General features: G+C 39.5%; 1 protein-coding gene across 10 annotated transcripts in view; it reads left to right on the top strand.

Annotated features, from left to right (window-relative positions):
- MATCAP2 (microtubule associated tyrosine carboxypeptidase 2) overlaps positions 1-19165 on the top strand; it is a 66206-nt gene extending 47041 nt beyond the window's left edge. For 6 of the 10 annotated variants that reach the window (XM_024446701.2, NM_001300956.2, NM_001199708.2 and 3 more), the window contains 5 exons: positions 7020-7163; positions 8139-8271; positions 9156-9461; positions 12238-12335; positions 16399-19165. In XM_024446701.2, coding sequence (XP_024302469.1) covers positions 7020-7163; positions 8139-8271; positions 9156-9461; positions 12238-12335; positions 16399-16557 — 840 coding nt within the window. In that variant the 3' untranslated portion in view covers positions 16558-19165. The remainder of the gene's footprint in view (positions 1-7019; positions 7164-8138; positions 8272-9155; positions 9462-12237; positions 12336-16398) is intronic. The other 4 variants (NM_001100425.2, XM_024446702.2, NM_015314.3 and 1 more) reach the window with 1 other exon arrangement.
- Positions 19166-21557: the final 2392 nt, after the last annotated feature.

Raw genomic sequence — 21557 nt, 5'->3', positions numbered from 1 at the left:
TTATATTGACCAGGCTGGTCTTGAACTCAAACTCCTGGCCTCAAGTGGTCCTCCTACCTTGGCTTCCTAGAGTGCTGGGAGGCTTGAGCTATCATGCCTGGCTTCTAAGAAAATTTTTGAAGATTATTATTGGTTTTATTAATTTGTAAGATGAAGCTTTTACTTTCTAAATTTTTATTGGTTTCCTGCAGAATGTATTAGGTTGGACCATTTTAAATTATTCATATTTAATCATTTTGACCTACAAAGATGGCAGTGTCATCTGGTTTAACCTAATATTCTTTCAGAGGTATGTTCTTCATTTAAGTTTTCAGGGTAATGCTTCCTATTTCCTTGGAACATCACAGTTCTTCACAGAGCTCATGTATCTTTGTAAAAATTACTCATCTGTGGCTGGGCGCAGTGGCTCACGCCTATAATTCTAACACTTTGGGAGATGGAGGCAGGCGGATTGCCTGAGCTCAGGAGTTCAAGAACAGCCTGGGCAACACAGTTAAACTCTGTCTCTACTAAAATACAAAAAAATTAGATGGGCGTGGCAGCATGCGCCTGCAGTCTCAGCTACTCAGGAGGCTGAGGCAGGAGAATCGCTTGAACCTGGGAGGTGGAAGTTGCAGTGAGCCAAGATCGCACCACTGCACTCCAGCCTGGGCAACAGAGGGAGACTCTGTTTCCAAAACAAACAAAAAAATTACTCATCTGTGATTAAGAAGCACCAGATCCAGGCTTAAGACTGGTCTGAAGACAGGCATAAGGAGTCATGTCTCTACTGGAGTCTTCAGAGTCTTGACTTCCTGAGAGTTGATTTCTCAAGCTTCCTGGTCCAGGCTCCTGAGCTTAGGGACCTGCTAAACGTTCATGTGGTGGTGTTCTGCAATATTTTAGTATGACTATGAGAACAAAGATGAAAGAGTGTTAAGACCAGCCTGACCAACATGGTGAAACCCCATCTCTATTAAAAATACAAAAATTAGCTGGGCATGGTGGCAGGTGCCTGTAATCCCAGCTACTTGGGAGGCTGAGGCAGGAGAATCGCTTGAACCCAGGAGGCAGACGTTGCAGTGAGCTGAGATCAAGCCATTGCACTCCCGCCTGGACAACAGGATGAGACTCCATCTCAGAAAAAAAAAAAAAAGACCTATGTAGTGTTTTACAAACTATACTCCACCAAAACATTGTGTGTTTTAGTGCTTCCACAAACACTGAAATATTTTCTAACAGACAATTAAAGTTTAAGGTGGAGTTCTGTGAGATTTTGTCTGAAAAAAGGTTCTGCTAAAAACAAAAGTTGAAAGTTAGTGTTTTAAGGAATCTAAGGTAAATTCTAGACCATTTTCCAGGAAATGCATGTCTTAGTCCAAAAAAATGCATTTGGCCTGCTATAACAAAATACCATAAACTGAGTAGCTTATGAATGACAGAATTTATTTCTCATGGTTCTGGTGCCTGGGAAGTCCAAAATCAAGGCACCATCAAATCTGGTGTCTGATGAGAACCCTCTTGCTAGTTGATGGAAGGCACCTTAGAAGGCTGTGTGTCCTCACATGGTGGAAGGGGCTAGCTAGCTCTTTGGGGCCACTTTTATTTAGAGGCAGATGTTGCATAGGTCTTGTCTTGAACTTCTGGCCTCAGGTGATCATCCCACCTTGGTCTCTCAAGGTGCTGGGATTACAGGCATGAGCCACTGTATTAAAGAGCCCTGGGGCCTCTTTTATAAAGGCACTAATCACAGTCATGAAGGGTCTACCCTAATGACCTAATCACTTTCCAAAGGCCCTACCTCCTAATACCCTCACCTTGGGGGTTAGGATTTCAAAATAAGAATGTGGGTGGGGCATAAATATTCAGATTATAGCAATGCAGAAAATTAAAACCTGCATTTCCCATGATGTATTACAATCAGGAGTCTACCTTTGGCTATAGGACTTCAAGTAAGGGAACCACATATCCCGGAATGCAATGTATCACATCTCTTTTTTCTTCTTACCCATTCTTTTTCTTTGGAGTTATATATTATATTGGGAGATGTATTTTTCTTATTAACATAAGTGATGATATAATGGAGAAGAGAGAGGTTTGACATGAAATTTATTGCCTCTAAAAGTGTTACCCATGTGCAGGTGTGTGAATGCCTGATTCTTCAAGTGGTGTAAACATTGATTCTCTGAACTCTAGGGGGAGCGGATAAACTACCTTTTTTCTCCCTTTTAAAATAAAATAACTTTTTACTTCTGATCATAGCACTAACATATTACATATTGTGAGGAATTTTAAAACTTCTGAAAAAATACAAATAATAAACATCAGTGTAACCCATCAATCATCTGATTCCCAGACATGAACTTCAGCCTTTCAGTATATTCCTCCAAGCTTCCCTGTGCCTTTTAAAGCTACTGTTTCCTTTTTCCAAAATTGGGATTAGACTCAAAATATCTGGCCTGCAGTTAAGAAGTTGTATAAGGAAGCAGAAATCATTGTAACAAAATATTCACTGATGAAGTGATTGACTCATTGCCATTCAACGTGATTTCTTTCTTCAAGCTTGAACTTATTTCACCAATTCAGCTACTGTCGCTATCTCTATGCTGTAGGATATTATAATGCAGATGGGGGGAGGTTACTTCTTAGGATCAGTGAAGGATGCTGCAGATCACTGATAAGTCTGTCTGTGTTGGACCAGTTGAAAAACTGATGAAGAAAAGAATCAAGATAATGAAAGGCTAGACATTCAGAGAAGAGTGATTGAATATAATGTAATATTTAAAGCTGAATATTAAGATTGCCTTTTAGGAACATTGATGTAGCTCCCATTAAGTGTTGACGCTATGGTGGTGCCGTGCAAGTCAAGATGAAACAAAGGAGGTGATATGCTGTTATGTACCATTGTGATAGAAGAAATGCATTCCCTCAGCAAAGAAACAAACAAAAATCCCACTGCTTTTATTCATTCTTTGATTTAGTCATTCATTCTGAGATCTGTGATAACAAGGAACACGTGTATTTAAGTTTTTCATAATTCTCTAGACTTTTATATTTGCTACAAGAAATAACCAGATAACCACATTTTCCTACCGAGTAAGCATATGCCTTAGAAAAGCTATTATAATTTTATCTGAAATTAAGTACATGCTTTAAAAGACCTATAAGCAGGCCAAGCGCGGTGGCTCATGCCTATAATCCCAGCACTAACTTTAGGAGGCCGAGACAGGCAGATCACTTGAGGCCAGGAGTTCGAGACCAGCCTGGCCAACATGGTGAAACCTCATCTCTACTAAAAAATACAAAAATTAGCCGGGCATGATGGCAGATGCCTGTAATCCCAGCTACTCAGGAGGCTGAGGCAGGAGAATCACTCAGGAATTTGAGAACAGCCTGGGCAACACCTGGAAGGTGGAGGCTGCAGTGAGCCGAGATCGTGCCACTACACCTCAGCCTGGCAACAGAGTGAGACTCCGTTTCAAGAAAATAAAAAAAATATCTATAAGCAGAAATCATAATACTTCTTAGAGATAATTTTTAACCATTTTTAAGTCTTCACAGTTCAATATATTAATACAAGGTACCACTTCTCTTCTGCAATTCTTCAGGCCACATTTGTCACATTCTTCTCACTCTTTGATACATGGATAACTGGTGACTATTAGGTTAGTGTATGCAAAGTATGCTAATCTGCTAAAATGGGTTTTTAATTATATGCTAATTTGTGCTTTTAATTGTCTTAGTTGTCATATGGATTAATCAGCTTCTGGAGCACTTGTATTTGCCCTTCTCTGAAATCCCTCTCACATTTTACATGCACTTGAATCACCTGGGGATCTTGTTAAAATGCAGATTCTGAATCAATAGGCATGAAGGTGGTAAGTGGCCAAAAATCTGCATTTGGCACCAGTTCCCATGCCACGCCAGTGCTGCTGGCCTTCAGACTATACTTTGAATAGCAAGGCTTTCAGTAACAGTTTTGGGACCAGAAGCCAGGCAAAGCCTATTGAAGCCATTTCTTATTATGATAACTTAATGATATATGCCTAGCTTATTAGTAATGTATATTTTTCAATTAGTGATATATATGTTGAATTATGACTTGCAGTATGTGAGCTTTCTTGTAATTTTTGTTTCAGGCATGTTACCTACAGTGGTGTTATTTATAGAGAATGGTGTTGACAAACTGTAAAAATACTTAAAAAAAAGGTTTATTCTAAGACAAATATGAAGGACCATGGCCTGAGACATAGTCTCAAGAGGTCCTGAGAAGATGTGTCCACGGTGGTTGGGTTACAGCTTGGTTTTATACATTTTAGGGAAACATCTTATGTCTCAATCAATACATGTGAGGAATGCATTGGTTTGGTCTAAAAAGATAGGACAACTCAAAGAGGGGGCTTACAGGATATAGGTGGATTCAAAGATTTTCTGATTGGCAGTTGATTGAAAGAGTTAAGTTATCTGAAAACCTGGAATCAATAGAAAGGAGTATTTGGTTTAAGTTAAGGGAGGCTAGAGGCCAAGGTTCTTATTACATAGATGAAGTCTCATAGGTGGCCACCCTTAGAGATAATAGATGACAAATGTTTCTTATTCAAACCTTTAAAATGTATAATCCTAGCATTTTGGGAGGCTGAGATGGGAGGATCACTTGACCTTGAGTTCAGGACTAGCCTGGTCAACATAGTGAGACCTTGTCTCTATTTTTTTTTTAATTAAAAATAAAAATAAAAGTTGCTAGAGACTGGGCATGGTGACTCATACCTGTAATCCCAGCACTTTGGGAGGTGGAGGTGGGAGGATCATTTGAGGCCAGGAATTGACCAGCCTGGGTAACACAGCAAGACTGTCTCTACAAAAAATTTTAAAAATTAGCCAGCATGGTGGTGTATGTCTGTTGTCCCAGCTACTCAGGAGACTGAGATGGGAGGATCCCTTGAGGCCAGGAGGTTGAGTCTACAGTGAGCCATGATCGCGCTACTGTGCTCCGACCTGGGTGACAGAGCAAGACACTGTATCCAGAGAAACAAAAATATATAAATACATTAAAAAGGTGCTAGACTCTCAGTTGATGTCTTCAGGACTGGGAGGGCCTGGAAAGGGAAAGGTCAGGTTATGTTATAGAGATTCAACAGATGCAGAATTTACCCCCACAAAAGAGCTTTGCAGGGCCATTTCAAAATATGGCAAAGAAACATATTTTGGGGTAAAATATTTTTATTTCCTTCTTTATCAGTCTTGTGATGTTATGCCAGAGTCAGGTTGGAAAGTAAGCCACACTATATAGGGTTAAATAAGACCCATCTTATGAGATTTTATGGTTTAAAGGGCATGAGCCTGCTGGCCCTTTAGATAGGAATTTGGGCAAGAGAGGAAAACAAAGATCAGAGTTTAGTCCTCAGTGGTAACATACCAATGATGATATAATAGATAATATGTATTGACTACTTATTATGTCACAGACACCATGCTTTATAAAGGTTAACTAAATTTTCTCAATAAAACCATGAAGTAGATGTTATTATTGTTATCCTCATTTACAAATGAGGAGGCTGAGGCCAGTCAGAAGGTAGTGAGTTATCTCAATTGATTGTTCACATCAGTTACAGGTCAAACTCCTTGCTCTACTCTTTTCCCTTTTCTCACTGCTGCACTGGACTAGTCTAATAATAATAATAATAATAATAAGAGTAATAAACAAGTTTAGTGACTTGCTCACGATAGCACAGCCAGAAGAGGACAGAGCCATGGCATCAACTCCAGATCTTGTACATGTAATCTCTTCACTAGTCTGACAGCTCAGAAACTACAGACTTTATATGACATGTATATGAATTCCCTAGGTTCTTACACAATTCATGTAAGATAGAGTTGAATTTTGTAGCTTTTTTTCCCAAAAGGCCTTTGAAAAGCAATTTTCTTTTTCCTCAGGTGTTCCTTTCTATGACTTTCCCATAGATACTGATAATTTGTGATTCCTTACCAGTTATTTTTAGTTCTCCATTCTGCATATGTGTGTTAATTTGTGCATATGTGAAAAAATATCTCAACTTTCTTATTCCTTTGCTGCAAAAATTTATGAAGAATGAAAAGTAGATAATATCCTGCCTTGACTGAAAGATACAGATATTTTTATTAATGTTGAGAATTTGTTTTCTGCCAAAGAGTAGCCCAGGAAAATAGATAGATTGTTGCAGAAGACTGATTGCTTTTTTTTTTTTTTTTTTTTTTTTTTTGAGATGGAGTTTCACTCCTGTTGCCCAGGCTGGAGTGCAATGGCGCGATCTCGGCTCACCACCACCTCCGCCTCCTGGGTTGTGCAAGGATTCTTCTGCTTCAGCCTCCCAAGTAGCTGGGACTACAAGCATGTGCCACCATGTCTGGCTATTTTTTTATATTTTTAGTAAAGACAGGGTTTCACCATGTGGACCAGGCTGGTCTTGAGCTCCTGGCCTCAAGTGATCCGCCTGCCTCAGCCTCCCAAAGTGCTGGGATTACAGGCATGAGCCACCATGCCTGGCCAATTCTTTAAAAAAATTTTTTTAAAATTTTTATTTCAATAGTTTTTGGGGTCAGACTGATTGATTCTTATGTGTGTTCTTAAAATTCTGAAATTTTTTTTTTCTCATTCAAAGGGCAATGGTAATCTATTTACTTGCGTGGAGACATACCTTCCACTCTGAGTTCTCCTGCCAAACCACCAAATTATCTTAGAGAAGCCAGGAGCCCCTCTCCCCAGCTTCTCAGCCTATCAGATGTTAGCACTTGAGATACGCAGTTCTTGAGCCCTCTGTCAGCATGTTAAGGAGAAATGAACACAGGGGAAGAGTTCGTATTGCTAAAGTGTACAGGCATTTGTACAAATTTGCGAAAATGAGTGGAAGTTGTTTAGGATTAGAAAAGTTTGGCACTTCAGTTGCAGTTTAATTTGGAAATCAATAAACCTAGAATAGGTCACAATAAATAACATAGCTAGCTTATGACATCTCAAAGTAATATGAGGCTGTTTACTTTCATTATCTCTCTTTCTTTTACAGTCTATCAATATTATGGAACTGACTTTACAGAAATATGGAAGTTATGAAAAATTTGAACAAGCCACTGGTGGTAGCTTGCTCTCTAAAACTCGAATCTGGAGTCACGTTAGGAAGTACATGATGAAGGAAGGCTGCCTAGGGGAGGTATGAACTGCGAGTGAACACAAGGAATTACTGTCATTGACAGTCATAGTTTATTTTATTTTATTTTATTTATTTTATTTTTTGAAATGGAGTCTCGCTCTGTTGCCCAGACTGGAGTGCAGTGGTGAATCTCGGCTCACTGCAACCTCCGCCTCCTGGGTTCAAGTGATTCTCCTGCCTCAGCCTCCCTAGTAGCTGGGATTACAGGCACCAGCCACCACACCCAGCTAATTTTTGTATTTTTAGTAGAGACAGTGTTTTTGCCGTGTTGGCCAGGCTGGTCTCGAACTCCTGACCTCAGGTCATCCGCCTGCCTTGGCCTCCCAGAGTGCTGGGATTACAGGCATGAGCCACTGCACCCAGCCTAGTCGTAGTTCTTTTCTGTAGATTTTGTTTTCCCAACTATTTTACTCATTAAATTAGTCGCCCAGATTTCTTACTCAATACTGTTAAGTTCCTGTTGCATTGAATTGTTTTGATGTGTTCAGTGTCTTTTTGTTTTTCTTACTGCCATTTCTGTATAACTTGTGGGATTAGATGAATTACTTTATGAAAATTGCTAATGAAGAGATTTGCCCGAGAAGCCTCTCTTATTAGTCTTCTTAGTGGTCAGTCTCAAAGCCTTGGTGCTGCCAATGAGCTGGATTCTGGCACCTGTATCTTCTTCTGCATCAGTTTAGTCAGGGAGCGTATTTACGACACCTCAGAGGTACAGTTTTAAGTCCTTCGTGTCTTCCTCAGCACAGCCATCTACTTTCCCTTAAACTCATGGAAGGTTCTTGAGTTCCCAAAGGGTCAAAATTAGAAGGGTCACAGGTGGTTTGGCTGCACATTCCTTCTTGGTTTCTGGGAGATTTAAGGTGGTTATAAACAAAAAACAGTGTTAATTTACAGGCCCATTGTTTTCTGTGAAAGCTTCTCCCCTTACCTTTATGTTTTGTTTTATGTCTGTGTACTTTTTCTCTTGCCCCTTAGATTGTAGTTCATCTCACTGAGGACCTGCTTTCCCGAGCGTCAATGACAGTAGTAAATGGATGTCCGACTCTGACTATCAATGTGTCCACTGCACGTGAGCATTGGCTGGAGGGAATGCTGAGGCATGAAATAGGTAGGGGCAATCCTTTCCATTTGTTTATTTGTAATATCAGGAATTAGCTCTAAAGAAATGTTCTTTTAGAAGGGGTTTTTTCTTAGTAGTATTTATTTTATTTTCTTAGTAGAAGAAAATTTAGCAAGAAGTCATGAGCTTCACTTGGACTGAAGCTAATGTATTTATGTCTCATTTCAAACTAGATTTTTTAAGGGAAGTGTTTAGGTGTATTGAACCTGGAAAGTCATTTAGCTGCTCTGGATTTCCCCTACATTAAACTGAGGGGGTTGAATTAAGGTATCTTTGAGGTTCTTTTCAAATATTAAGTCTGTGATTCTTCTCTTTAAAAAAGTAAATTGTTATAAAGGTTATACCTCCTCTCTTGAGACATGTGATCCTTTTGAAGGCAGTGTACTCCTTCACACCCAAGAGATGTTAGGATCAGGTCATTTTCTACTTTGTTTTGATTTGTAGGCACACATCAATTTGGCTTTAGAATTTTTTTTTTTTTTTTTTTTTTTTTTTTTTGAGATGGGATCTCGGTCTGTCGCCCATTCTTGGGCACAGTGGCAGGATCTCAGCTCACTGCAACCTCTGCCTCCCAGGCTTAAGTGATCCTCTTCACCTCAGCCTCCTGAGTAGCTGGGACCCCAGGTGCACACCACCACACCCAGCTAATTTTTTGTATTTCTGGTAGACATGTTTCACCATGTTGCCCAGGCTGGTCTCCAACTCCTGAACTCAAGTGATCCGCATGCCTCGGCCTTCCAAAGTGCTGGGATTACAGGCATGAGCCACCGCGCCTGGCTGGTTTTAGGATTGTTGATGGAATCTAACTTTGGGGGAAGAATTAAAACAAGAATGGCATTTCTTTTTCTTCATGTAACTTTTCTTCTCCATAGGTACACATTATTTTCGAGGTATTAACAACCTCCAGCAGCCATGGAACAGTTGGACTGGACGTAAAAAACATGAGCTAAAGCCAAATAATCCCACAGAGGAAGGACTAGCAAGCATTCACAGTGTTCTGTTTAGAAAAGACCCTTTTTTATGGAGGGCTGCCCTCCTCTACTACACTGTTTATCAAGCCAGCCAAATGTCTTTTTGTGAACTCTTTAAAGATATTGGCAGGTTTGTCAAGGACCCCAATACAAGATGGGATTATTGTGTACGGGCCAAGAGGGGATGGACTGATACTTCCCAACCAGGTGGGTGTCCCTTAACTCTAGGTTTTCTGACTTACTGACTAGTTGTCTAGTGATTTTGTTTATATCCTAATCCCTGAATCACAAAATTCACTTACTTAAAAAAATGAAATCTTTGTTACCTGAGGTCAGAACTGGTTTTCCCAAACCACATTTTCTTAGCATTATTTTTACCCAGCTCAATTTTGAAAAATCTCAGACCTATAGAATATGGAAAGAATCTTAGAATGAACACCCATCTACCCTTCATCTGGATTCACTTATTGTTAACATTTCTTTTTTTGCTTTTTTTGCTTTCTCTGTCTTTGACTTTTTAAAAAACAGCTATACTGAGATATAATTCACATGCCATACAATTTACCCATTTAAAATGTAGAGTTCAGTGATTTTTAGAATATTCAGAGTTGTACAACCATCACCATTGTCTAATTCCAGAATGTTTTCATTACCTCAAAAGAAACCCATACCCATTAGCATTCATTCCCCATTTCCTCCCCTCTCTCCAGCTCTAAGCAACTGCTTTTGGTGTTCTTTTCATCTCTAGATTTACCTGTTTTGAACATTTTATAGAAATAGAATTATCTAATATGTGATTTTTTGTGGTGGGCTTCTTTCAGTTAGCATGTTTTCAAAATTCATTCATGTTGTAGCATGTATCAATATTTTGATCATTTTATTGCTGTGAGGCAGTCTGTCCCTTAGCAAAGCTCGAGCACTGTGCTGGGAGATCCGCTGCTGTCTTCAGAGCCGGCAGGCAGGAACGTTTAAGTCTGCTGAAGTTGTGCCCACTGCCACCCCTTCCCCCAGGTGCTCTGTCCCAGGGAGATGGGAGTTTTATTTATAAGCCCCTTAGTGGGGCTGCTGCCTTTCTTTCAGAGATGCCCTGCCCAGAGAGGCAGAATCTAGAGAGGCAGTCTCTACTTTTTTTTTTGAGATAGAGTATGACTCTTATCACCTAGTCTGGAGTACAATGGTGCGATCTCAGCTCACCGCAACCTCTGCCTTCTGGGTTCAGGTGATTCTCCTGCCTCAGCCTCCCAAGTAGCTGGGACTGAAGGCATGCACCAATATGCCCAGCTAATTTTGTATTTTTAGTAGGGACGGGATTTCACCCTATTGGCCAGGCTGGTCTTGAAGTCCTGACTTCAGGTGATCCAACCGCCTCGGCCTCCCAAAGTGCTGGGACTACAGGCGTGAGCCACCATGCCCAGCCTAAGAGGGTTTTTAAACTATTTATTTGGAGCTTGGTAAATACTTACTCAAATTAGTGATGGTTATGTTGCTAGCACAGCCCACATTAACATTTCATACTAGTGTTGTAATCGTATGACAGCGTAGTGCCTTAGAGCCAGGAGCAGGGAAGATAGGAAGCAGGAAAGAGAAGGACATCTCTCTCCTGTCTTTCATGTGTGCATAGCCAATTCCAGGCGGGATTTCAGATAAGCAACGTGTCTGCCATTTCTTAGAATACTCTTCTCAATACTCTTAGAAGAAAATTTGTTGATATACTGAACTAACCTGAAATTCAAAATGACTGTTAAACAAATGTTTCTTAATTTGTACTCTTTTTTTCAAGGGCATTTTTGAGTGTTCTTTTTAGATTCCTTTGCCTGGATTTTAGTACTCTGTACCCAGATGCACAGGGCTTCCATGTTGCCTTTGATACCCACCCCGTGGAGGCTCATCATTTTTAGACTAGTCCCTTTTTTCTTTTTTTCACATACTTCTGTGTTTTTCATGTTTTATTATGGAAAATTTCAAATGTATACAAAAGAATGATTAATATGCTGAACTCCAGTAATATATTACCTGATCATAGCTATTATCAACATTTTCTAACTGTGGTTCGTCTATTCTTCCAAATTCGTTTTCCTATACTATTTTAAAGCCAATTCCAACATCATGTCCTTTTACCCATAAATATTTCAATGTGCGTCTCTGATTAGGACAATTTTTTAAATCATCCTCATGCTATTGGCATACCTAACCAAATTAACAATAATTCCTTAATATATGACTCCATGTGGTAGAATTTTAATTAATTTAATAGAGCAAAATTTTTTTAAAAATTACACAAATTATGTCAGGATGGGAAAAAGGTTCACTGTGTAAACAGAACATCCTTTTCTAACTACGTTCAGATTCATGAAATGTTCTACTTTTCATGTCTTTATCCATTTTTTTCTATTTTTTAAACCTACATGCTCTCCAAAATCTAGTTCTAGTTGTTTACATAGAGAGGAACTAATGTCAAATTTATGCTTTAAAACCACAGTTTGTTTTTGTTTAATGGAGGGTGAGGATTATTAATATTCTAAATACCAGGAGTTTCTAAAACCCTGCGTCTCTCCACTACCTTTATTGAGATGTACCTGCTCTAAAACTATCCTGCTCAGGCCTCCCCACTCAGATGCCTTCAGTGCACAATGGGAGTTATGACTGAACGGTGGGAGTAGGGGAAGGTGGGATAATCATATTTCTAAGACTCATATATTTAAAATTACCAGTCTCTATAGTGAGGAAAGAATTGTTATTTTAATAACGGGGAGGATGTGTGAGGAGAAGGAATTCTTAAGGGTCTAGTCTGCATACCATCCTGGCACTTCCCAAGACCTGACATTTTATGTAATGAAGATAGTTAAATAAAAATAAAAATAAATGTTGGCAAACTAGAATATTTTTAATACAGGACTGATTCCTACAGTAAATGGAATGGGTTGATATCTACTTAGTAATTTTTCTGAACATCAGAAAGTAAACACTATTCTGGTTCCTCCAGGGTGTTTTAGTAAAGACCAGGTATACTTGGATGGAATTCTTCAAATCCTCCGATACAGAGATACCATAGACTTCCATCTGCTGACTGCTCTCGGGAAGGTGAGTAGAAGCCATGGCACATAGTCCCCGAACACCCCAGATCAGCATTCCCCTCACTCAAGCTTAGCATTAAATAAGACTTAGCTTCACAGTATTTTTAGTTTATTGTCAGAACAAATTTTCTTTATGTCGTATCAAGAGGGAAGAAATCTGGTTCTGTAATATAACCAAATTGTAAAATTTCTTTATGGTCAATAAGAGATAAAGGAATAGGAAATTTGGGAATACATATTGTTTTATTTGTATTTGTGTATACATATTTTTCTAAAAAGCATTTTGAAGTAAGCTGCACCTAAAACACTTCCCCCCATAATATCTCCAAAGAACAGGATATTTTCTGACATTACGACATGATTTTGTTAATAATAAAAAGAGATTTATTAAATATAACATCTAAAATAGAGTCCACTTCAAATTTTCCAAAGTGCCTCCAAAATGTCCTTTGTAGCTCCTTTTTTGTGATCTGAGATCCAATCAAGATTTATACATTGCATTTGGTTATAATCCTTCGTCTCTTTTAATCTGTGATAGTCTCCCCTTGCCTCATTCTTTCTGTTTTTTTTCATGACATTGTTAAGACTCGGGCTGGGCAGGGTGGCTCACGCCCGCAAACCCAACACTTTGGGAGGCCAAGGTGGGAGGCTGAGGCAGGAGGATCACTTGAGGCCAGGAGTTTGAGAGCAGCCTGGGCAACATGGGGAAACCCTGTCTTTATAAAAAATTTTAAAAAGTAGCCGGGCATGGTGGCACACACCTTAGTCCCAGCTACTCGGGAAGCTGAGGTGGGAGGGTCACTTGAGCCCAGGAGGTCGAGGCTGCAGTGGAGCCATGATCGTACCACTGAACTCCAGCCTGGGAGACAGAGCCAGACCCTGTCTCAGAAAAATAAATAAATAAATAAATAAATAAAATAAAATAAAATAAAAATAAAAAAAAAAAGATCGGCACAGTTTTCTTGAGAATTCCTACAATATGGATTATCAGATTGTTTCCTTCTGATGAGATTCAGGTTAAACATTTTTGCCAAGAATACTACATAAGTGATGTGTATTTCCCATTGCATCACATTAGAAAGTACGTGTCATTTTGCTCCATTTGATCATCTGGGTGTTTGATAACCTGCTGTGTTTGATCACCTGGGTTAAGTTAGTGACCACCAGATCTCCCCATTGTAAAAGTACCTTTCCCCCATTGTATTAGTAAATAGTCTTTGGGGTGATATTTATGAATGGACTATTCCCTAATAACCCTTGATGATCTTTTCCCAAATCAATTACACTGGTGGTAACAAAATAGAGATCTTCTAATTCTTTTATATTTCTTTGTCACTCCCCGTTTTTGTAGTATTATTATGGACTTAATTGGACTTACTTTATTCAACTTTTTCATGGCTGTGCCTGTGTCTTAAACATGTCTCCATGTTTTCTGACACAGTAAAATGTCTGGGCACAGTTTGTACTTTTCCTACCCAAATCTCAGATCAGCCATTTCTCTAATGAAGTCTTGTTTCCTTTTAATTGGTATTTTAAAAACAGGAGCTGAGTTCTTGGTGTGTTCCTTGCTACTGGGGTACTCTTGCTTCTAGACCTTTTCAGTGAGCAAATCATATCTATTTGTTAAATCATAAGGGCACTGCAATTCACATCAGACCCTACAAGATTCTTTCATACCTCCTCTGCCATTCCATATTTGTATTTACCATCTCTTAAAATGAGAACCTTGTTTCTCAATGTCAGTATATTTAATCTTTCCTATAATAAACCAAGAATAGTTTAAGAATTATTAAACCATACCAATATCAACAAACCTATTTTGATTACATTTAGTGGTATAAATACCAAATAAATAATATTAATAGTAAAACTTTAAAAACCTTCATAAAATATAGATATAATATGAACATGAGTTCTTTAATTTTATTTATTTATTTATTTTTTTGATACGGAGTTTTTGCTCTTGTTGCTCAGGCTGGGTGCAATGGCGCGATCTTGGCTCACTGCAACCTTTGCCTCCTGGGTTCAAGCAATTCTCCTGCCTCAGCCTCCTGAGTAGCTGAGATTACAGGCATCCACCACCACACCCGGCTAATTTTGTATTTTTAGTAGAGACAGGGTTTCTCCGTGTTGGTCAGGCTGGTCTCAAACTCCTGACCTCGGGATGCGCCTGCCTCGGCCTCCCAAAGTGCTAGGATTACAGGCGTGAGCCACCGCTCCCGGCTATTTATTTATTTATTTTGTGAGATGGAGTCTTACTCTGTCGCCCAGGCTGGAGTGCAGTGGCGTGATCTCGGCTCACTGCAACCTCCCGTCTCCTGGGTTCAAATTATTCTCCTGCCTTAGCCTCCCAAGTAGCTCAGATTACAGGCACCTGCCACCACACCCAGCTAATTTTTGTATTTTTAGTAGAGACGGGGTTTCACCACGTTGGCCAGGCTAGTCTCGAACTCCTGACCTCAAGTGATCATCCCACCTCAGCCTCCCAAAGTGCTGGGATTACAGGTGTGGGCCACTGGCACCGGGCTGAGTTCTTTTCCTAAAGCCTTCCTACTGAGCCTGGAAGAGTATTGATCAGAAGACTATAGTTTTTAAAGTCAACTGTGTTTTAGAATTTGAAGATAATTTAAGGCTGGGCATTGTGGCTCACACCTGTAATCACAGCACTTTGGGAGGTGGAGGCGAGAGGATCACTTGAGACTAGGAGTTCGAGACCAGCCTGGGCAACATAGCAAGACCCCCCCCCCCTACAAAAACAAAAACAAATTAGCCGGGCATGGTGGCACATGTCTGTAGGGAGGCTAAATGGGAAGGATCGCTTGAGCCCAGGAGTTCGAGGCTACACTGAGCTGTGATTGCATCACTGCACTCCTGCTAGGGTGACAGAGAAAGACCCTATCTCTTAAAAAAAATTTAAGAATAAAGATAATTTATAGAACTTTAAAAGCTTCATCCTTAAACCTAATATAAGTACCTGTGAGAGACTAGCTTCTTAAATAGGAGAATTAAAAAGATGTGAACTTTTTTACAAAAATTCAAAATAAAAGCAAGAAGATGTAATACAAATCACAAATCATTATGTATCCTAAATTAAAGAGAAATAGGAACTTAATATATGGATTGAGTATCTCTTCTCTAAAATGCTTGGGACTAGAAGTGTTTTGGATTTTGGATTTTTTTGAATTTTGGAGTATTTACATTCTTTACTAGTTGAGCATCCGAAATCCCCAAATTGGAAATTCCACATGCTCCAATGAGTATTTTCTGTGAGCATCACGTGGGTGCTCCAAAAGTTTGCAGCATTTCAGATTTTGCATTTTTGGATTTGGGATGCTCACCCTGTATAATTGTGCTAATTTTTCTAATTTAATAATATGTCATTTATATTCTAGTTATTTTGATTCTTTTATTTCGATTTAGCCAGAAGACTTGTTTGGTTTTAGAGTCTCTCTCACACACAAATATATTAAGTATGGCTGTCTAATTTTTAGACAAACTGAGTAGGTTCAAGGTAGAGTATTAAATCAAATTTGACTTTTTAAAATAATCTTTTAGGCTGGGCACGGTGGCTCACGCCTGTAATCCCAGCACTTTGGGAGGCCAAGGTGGGTGGATCACCTGAGGTCAGGAGTTCGAGACCAGCCTGGCTAATGAAACATCATCTCTACTAAAAATACAAAAAATTAGCCAGGTGTGGTGGCGGGCGCCTGTAATCCCAGCTACTCAGGAGGCTGAGGCAGGAGAATCACCTGAACCCGGGAGGTGGAGGTTGCAGTGAGCCAAGATCACGCCACTGCACTCCAGCCTGGGCAACAAGAATGAAACTCCATCTCAGGAAAAAAATAATAATAATACTCTTTTAATATGGTCATGGTATAAGGGGCAGAGAAATACATTATTATTTAACACAGTGAAGAAAATGTAAGTCACTGATTTTTGTTACTTTGCAGCTATTAAAATAATTTGACAAATGATCTGTATACTTTCATTTAAGGCCCAGGGAAGAAATTCATCCTTAAAATGTACATTGTAGTTACATTTTTAATTTAACTCATCTTCCTTTTTTTCAGGTTTCTTATGAAGATGTGGATCGCTTAAAAGGATTGGCAGTTACCGAAAACATGAGGGTCCCTCATTTCCTGCAGGACCATGGCCGATATATGGAACACTTAGAGAAGATCATGGAAGTGAATGAACTGACTGACAGGGAACTGAAAGATCTTATATAGTAATTAGCGTTCTGGCAAACATAGCTAAGCTATGCCTCCATGTATATTACCAGTTAGGTGCAGTTAGCACCAGAAGATTTATAAAAGAAGAAAGACTACTTGTGTTTTCTGAAGAAGGGTCTTCAGTATTCAGCGGAATTTTTAGGTTAAGTACAGATCTTAAACTATTTCCCTAAAATGTTTCTATAGGTTGCAGGGGGAAGTTATTCCTATTTTCTGAATCTCGACAGAGTCAGATGAAAATACTACTGCTGAGCATTTTTGAAGACTCTTGGTCAAATTGCATGATAAATTTCTGCCTGAGCAGTAAGCACTGGCCTAGTGCTTCTGCCTAAATATGGAGGTCAGCTCCAACTGGAGACTGGCTGAATTCCATTGCTGTTCAGACTCCAAAGTTATATTTTATTTGATAAATAATGGTAATTATTCTCCTTTGAAAAATTAGTTTTGTGTTGCTCCAAAAAGCTAGCTATATATCTCAGCTTTCTTATTTCTTTTATATGTTGAGGGATTTTAAAGGGAGAGGAAAAGCAATTTGAAAATTTTTCATTAAGTGTTTTATTTTAACATTATTGTTTCACCTTATCAGCTTATAGGAACTAAATTAGAGAATCACCTCTTTTTGTCCGGTTATCTCTTAACTATGTTTTCATTTGCTGAAACATATTGTACCCTTTTAAATTTTTTACAGAGTTTTAACGTCTTTTCCACTGCATCCTTTATAAAAATAAGTACAAATTCCAGAGAGGTTTTCCTACACAAATACAAAATAATTGGGGAAGGGCTACTCACCTTTTTTATGAAACAGAATATGTAACAAGCAGAGGACAAATAGACTGACCTGGTTAAACGTAGGTTCTGGATGTTGATGGGTAGCACCTGCAGTAAACTTGACCATGCTCTGAAAAAAGAAATTTCTGGGTATTGATGGTTTATAAAGCCAGCTTTGTGCTATTGGTTCAGTATATTTTATCAAATCTTTGACTTCATCAACCCAGTAATGACATAGTTTAAATTTTAAAATGAGAGTTCTGTTTTGCTGTATTTCTCCTGCTAGCCTAGCTTTGTATTTTATCATCAGCTTCAGTATATACTTGTATATATATACCTGGATTCAAATGGTTCTTCATACAACTTAATGATCAGAAAGAATGCTGCTGTAAACACCCCACTCAAGATTGCTGCTGGAATTTCTACCCAAAGCTGTCTGAGAGTTTATCTTTACCTCAGTGCAGGCTTAAATAATGGTGCTAATACTGGTAGATATATACTGTGAAGCCTGGTTCACATTCATGCTAGAAAATGATTTTGGGAAATCTTTTATAGGAGAGGTTACATGATTTTTCTCTTTCACATATCTAGAAGGACTTGCCTCAAAGAAGAATGTTGCAGCAAACAGGATATACTCTAGCTGGTGCCCAAAGGTTCTTGCAAAACCATGAATCTTGCTTTTAGCAGTAAAGGGCCAGACACTTTGGAGCATTGAAAGGCCTTAGCCCCTGCTCCCCAACTACGTGCCATGCTGGGTAGTGTGTATCCTGTACATCTGTGTGCCAGGCTGGGGCAGACTGTGCCAATGCTCACCGAACACTAGAATCTGCTCTTACACCTCTAGCATGTATCTCGTTGTAGCAGAGTTGTGCACTTTCTCAGCATTGTGTAGTGTTTTCTAATTGCATCTAAAAACTTATCAAAAGTGATTGTGAAAACAGTGTCTTAGAAGTATAAACAGAAATGGCAATATTTATGTCCTGTGATTCAAGCCCAAAGGTTATAAATTCAACTTTCACAGGGAATAGCACTGCTAATCTTACTTTATGATTTAAATATAAAGGAAAATCACAGCAGCCTTAATTTCCTGTTGGTCGGATCATTTGCAGCAGTTCTAGTTCCTGACTTTTAAAATGGATGAAATTTTCTCTTTGTCTGATTTGGAAAAGGAACTGCTTTTTTGCCTTACTGCTTTGGTATAAGGATGAAAAACATGAGCACTCTGCAGACAAAATGACCTTAAATCACATTGATTAAGATATTTTAAAAGTTAGCAGTGAACCAAAAGTAGTTTCAGATTAGCAGAAATAAAGAGCTTTAAGTTTTAAAAGTTGAGATTGAATATTTAATGAAAGTTTATTAATTCTTTTTCCAGGAATAGCAGTAAGGTCAGTTTTTTTCCCTAAAATAAAAAGTTTTAATAAACAGAAAATTATAGCAACAGTACTTAGGAGAATAGTTGAAGATTGTATTAATTTTAATTATAATAGTTATTTGTCATAGGCTATTGATGATTAGAATTTCATTAGTTTTGTCCACTATAATTTTAAAAATAGTTGTGTCAAATACAAATTCTGGTAAACTGTTAGGTTTTAACACCAGACAGTATTCAAAGGAAATTAATGTTTGCAAACATAAATCCATAGTCTTCATTTCTTTATATTGTCACCTTTGTAAAAGTGTTTAAAATTTGTATTGTTTGTTTTGTATATCTTTGGGCATCTTGTGTCTAGCTATAATAAAAAGAAACGGTGCCAAGGTTCTCAGATGAAGTGTGTGGCTATGTATGCATGTAACTTGGTTTCTTTGAAAACCCAATTATATTTGTATTGTGGTGTTTCTTGTTTTTTATTTTGTGATAATTGTCAAAAGGACATTAATCATGCTTGTCTTCTAGTGCCGTTACTTCTTAGAAAAATATTATATTTACCACACTTCACCTTTTCCCTAATTATTTTAGCTTATACTCTCATGGGACATATGGAGAAAGGAAAAGGAGAGAGGTTGCATTAGTCTATTCTCATGCTGCTAATAAAGACATACTCGAAACTGGGTAATTTATAAAGGAAAGAGGTTTAATGGACTCATAGTTCCACATGGCAGGAGAGGCCTCACAATCATGGTGGAAGATGAAGGAAGAGCAAAGTGATGTCTTACATGGCGGCAGGCAAGAGAGCATGTGCAGGGGAACTCCCCTTTATAAAACCATCAGATCTCATGAGACTTATTCACTGTCATAAGAACAGCATAGGAAAGACTTGCCCCCATGACGTAATTACCTCGCACCAGGTCCCTCCCATGACACGTGGGAATCTTGGGAGCTACAATTCAAGATGAGATTTGGGTGGGGACACAGCCAAACCATATCAGAGGGACAATTTTTTTTCTTTTTTTGAGACGGAGTTTCACTCTTGTTGTCCAAGCTGGAGTGCAATGGTGCGATCTCGGCTCACTGCAACCTCCACCTCCTGGGTTCAGGTGATTCTTCTGCCTCAGCCTCCCAAGCAGCTAGGATTACAGGCATCCGCCACTGTGCCTGGCTAATTTTTTTGTATTTTTAGTTTCACCATGTTGGCCAGGCTGCTCTCAAACTCCTGATTTCAGGTGATCCACCTGCCTTTGCCTCCCAAAGTGCTGGGATTACAGGCATGGGCCACCATGCCTGGCCTCAGAGGGACAATTTTGTCTTAAGGTACTATCCTGTTCATTTAATAAACTTTTATGCAGAACGTATCAAGCAGGACCTGTGCTGATTACCAGAGATCCTCTGGTGAATAAGAGAAGAGAAGAGAAGAAGCACAGAAGAAGGTTATGGCACAGCCACATTCCCTTGACCAAAAAGTGCTACAGAAAAAATGTACACTCTGGTCAGTGGGCCTGCCTGTGTGTTTGAAGCAGAGGGGAAGATAATTTGCTAAATGGTGATTGTTCACAGGATTTTATTACTGCTTTTTGCACAGGATTTTATTACTGCTTTTTGCAAGGCTTATGTTTGGAATAAAAGCACCTTCCCAGGGGAAGTAGTAGACCAGGAATGCAGTTGCCTGGGTCATCATAGGCCTGTGGGAGATCCCCTGAGACCTCCTGCAGATGCCCATGGGAGCCAACACTGTATCTTTAAGAAGATGAGCATGAAGCCAGGATGGAGAGAAGAGTGTGGTGCCCTCACCCATCAGGGGCAAGTAACCAGGTATAATAGTTTTCATGCTGCTGATAAAGACATACCTGAGACTGGGCAATTTCCAAAAGAAAGAAGTTTATTGTACTTACAGTTCCACGTGGCTGGGGAGGCCTCACAATCATGGTGAAAGGTGAAGGTGAAAAGCCCGTGGTGAAAGGTGAAGGTGAAAAGCCCGTCTCACATGGCAGCAGACAAGAGAAGAGAGTTTGTGCAGGGAAACTCCCCCTTATAAAACCATCAGATCTCGTGAGACTTATTCACTACCACGAGAACAGCATGGAAAAGACCTGCCCCCATGATTCAATTACCTCCCACCAAGTCCCTCCCACAACACGTGAGAATTCAAGATGAGATTTGGGTGGAGACCCATCCAAACAATATCATTCCGCCCTGGCCTCTCCCAAATCGCATGTCCTCACATTTCAAAACCAATCATGCCTTCCCAGTAGTCCCCCAAAGTCTTATTTCAGCATTAACTCAAAAGTCCACAGTCCAAAGTCTCATCCGAGACAAGGCAAGTCCCTTCCTCCTATGAGCCTGTAAAATCAAAATCAAGTTAGTTACTTCCTAGATGCAATGGAGATACAGGCATTGGGTAAATACAGCCATTCCAAATGGGAGAAATTGGCCAAAACAAAGGGGTGACAGGCCCCATGCAAGTCTGAAATCTAGTGGGCAGTCAAATCTTAAATCTCCAAAATTGTCTCCCTTGACTCCATGTCTCACACCGAGGTCACATTGATGCACGAGATGGGCTCCCATGGCCTTGGGTAGTTTCACCCCTGTGGCTTTGCGGTCCCCCATCTGGCTGCTTTCACTAGCTGGCGTTGAATGTCTGTGGCTTCTCCATGTGCAAGCTATCGGTGGATCTACCATTCTGGAGTCTGGAGGACGGTAGCCCTCTTCTTACAGCTCCACTAGGTGGTGACCCGGTAGGGACTCTGTTGAGGCTCCCACCCCACATTTGCCTTCTGCACTGCCCTAGCAGAGGTTCTCCATGAGGGACCTGCCCCTGCAGCAAACTTCTGCCTGGGCATCCAGGCATTTT

Source organism: Homo sapiens, chromosome 7 (genome assembly GCF_000001405.40).
Source record: "Homo sapiens chromosome 7, GRCh38.p14 Primary Assembly".
Classification (NCBI taxonomy): Eukaryota; Metazoa; Chordata; class Mammalia; order Primates; family Hominidae; genus Homo; species Homo sapiens.
The sequence above is the reverse complement of the archived record's forward strand: the minus strand, read 5'-3'. Positions and strand labels throughout refer to the sequence as shown.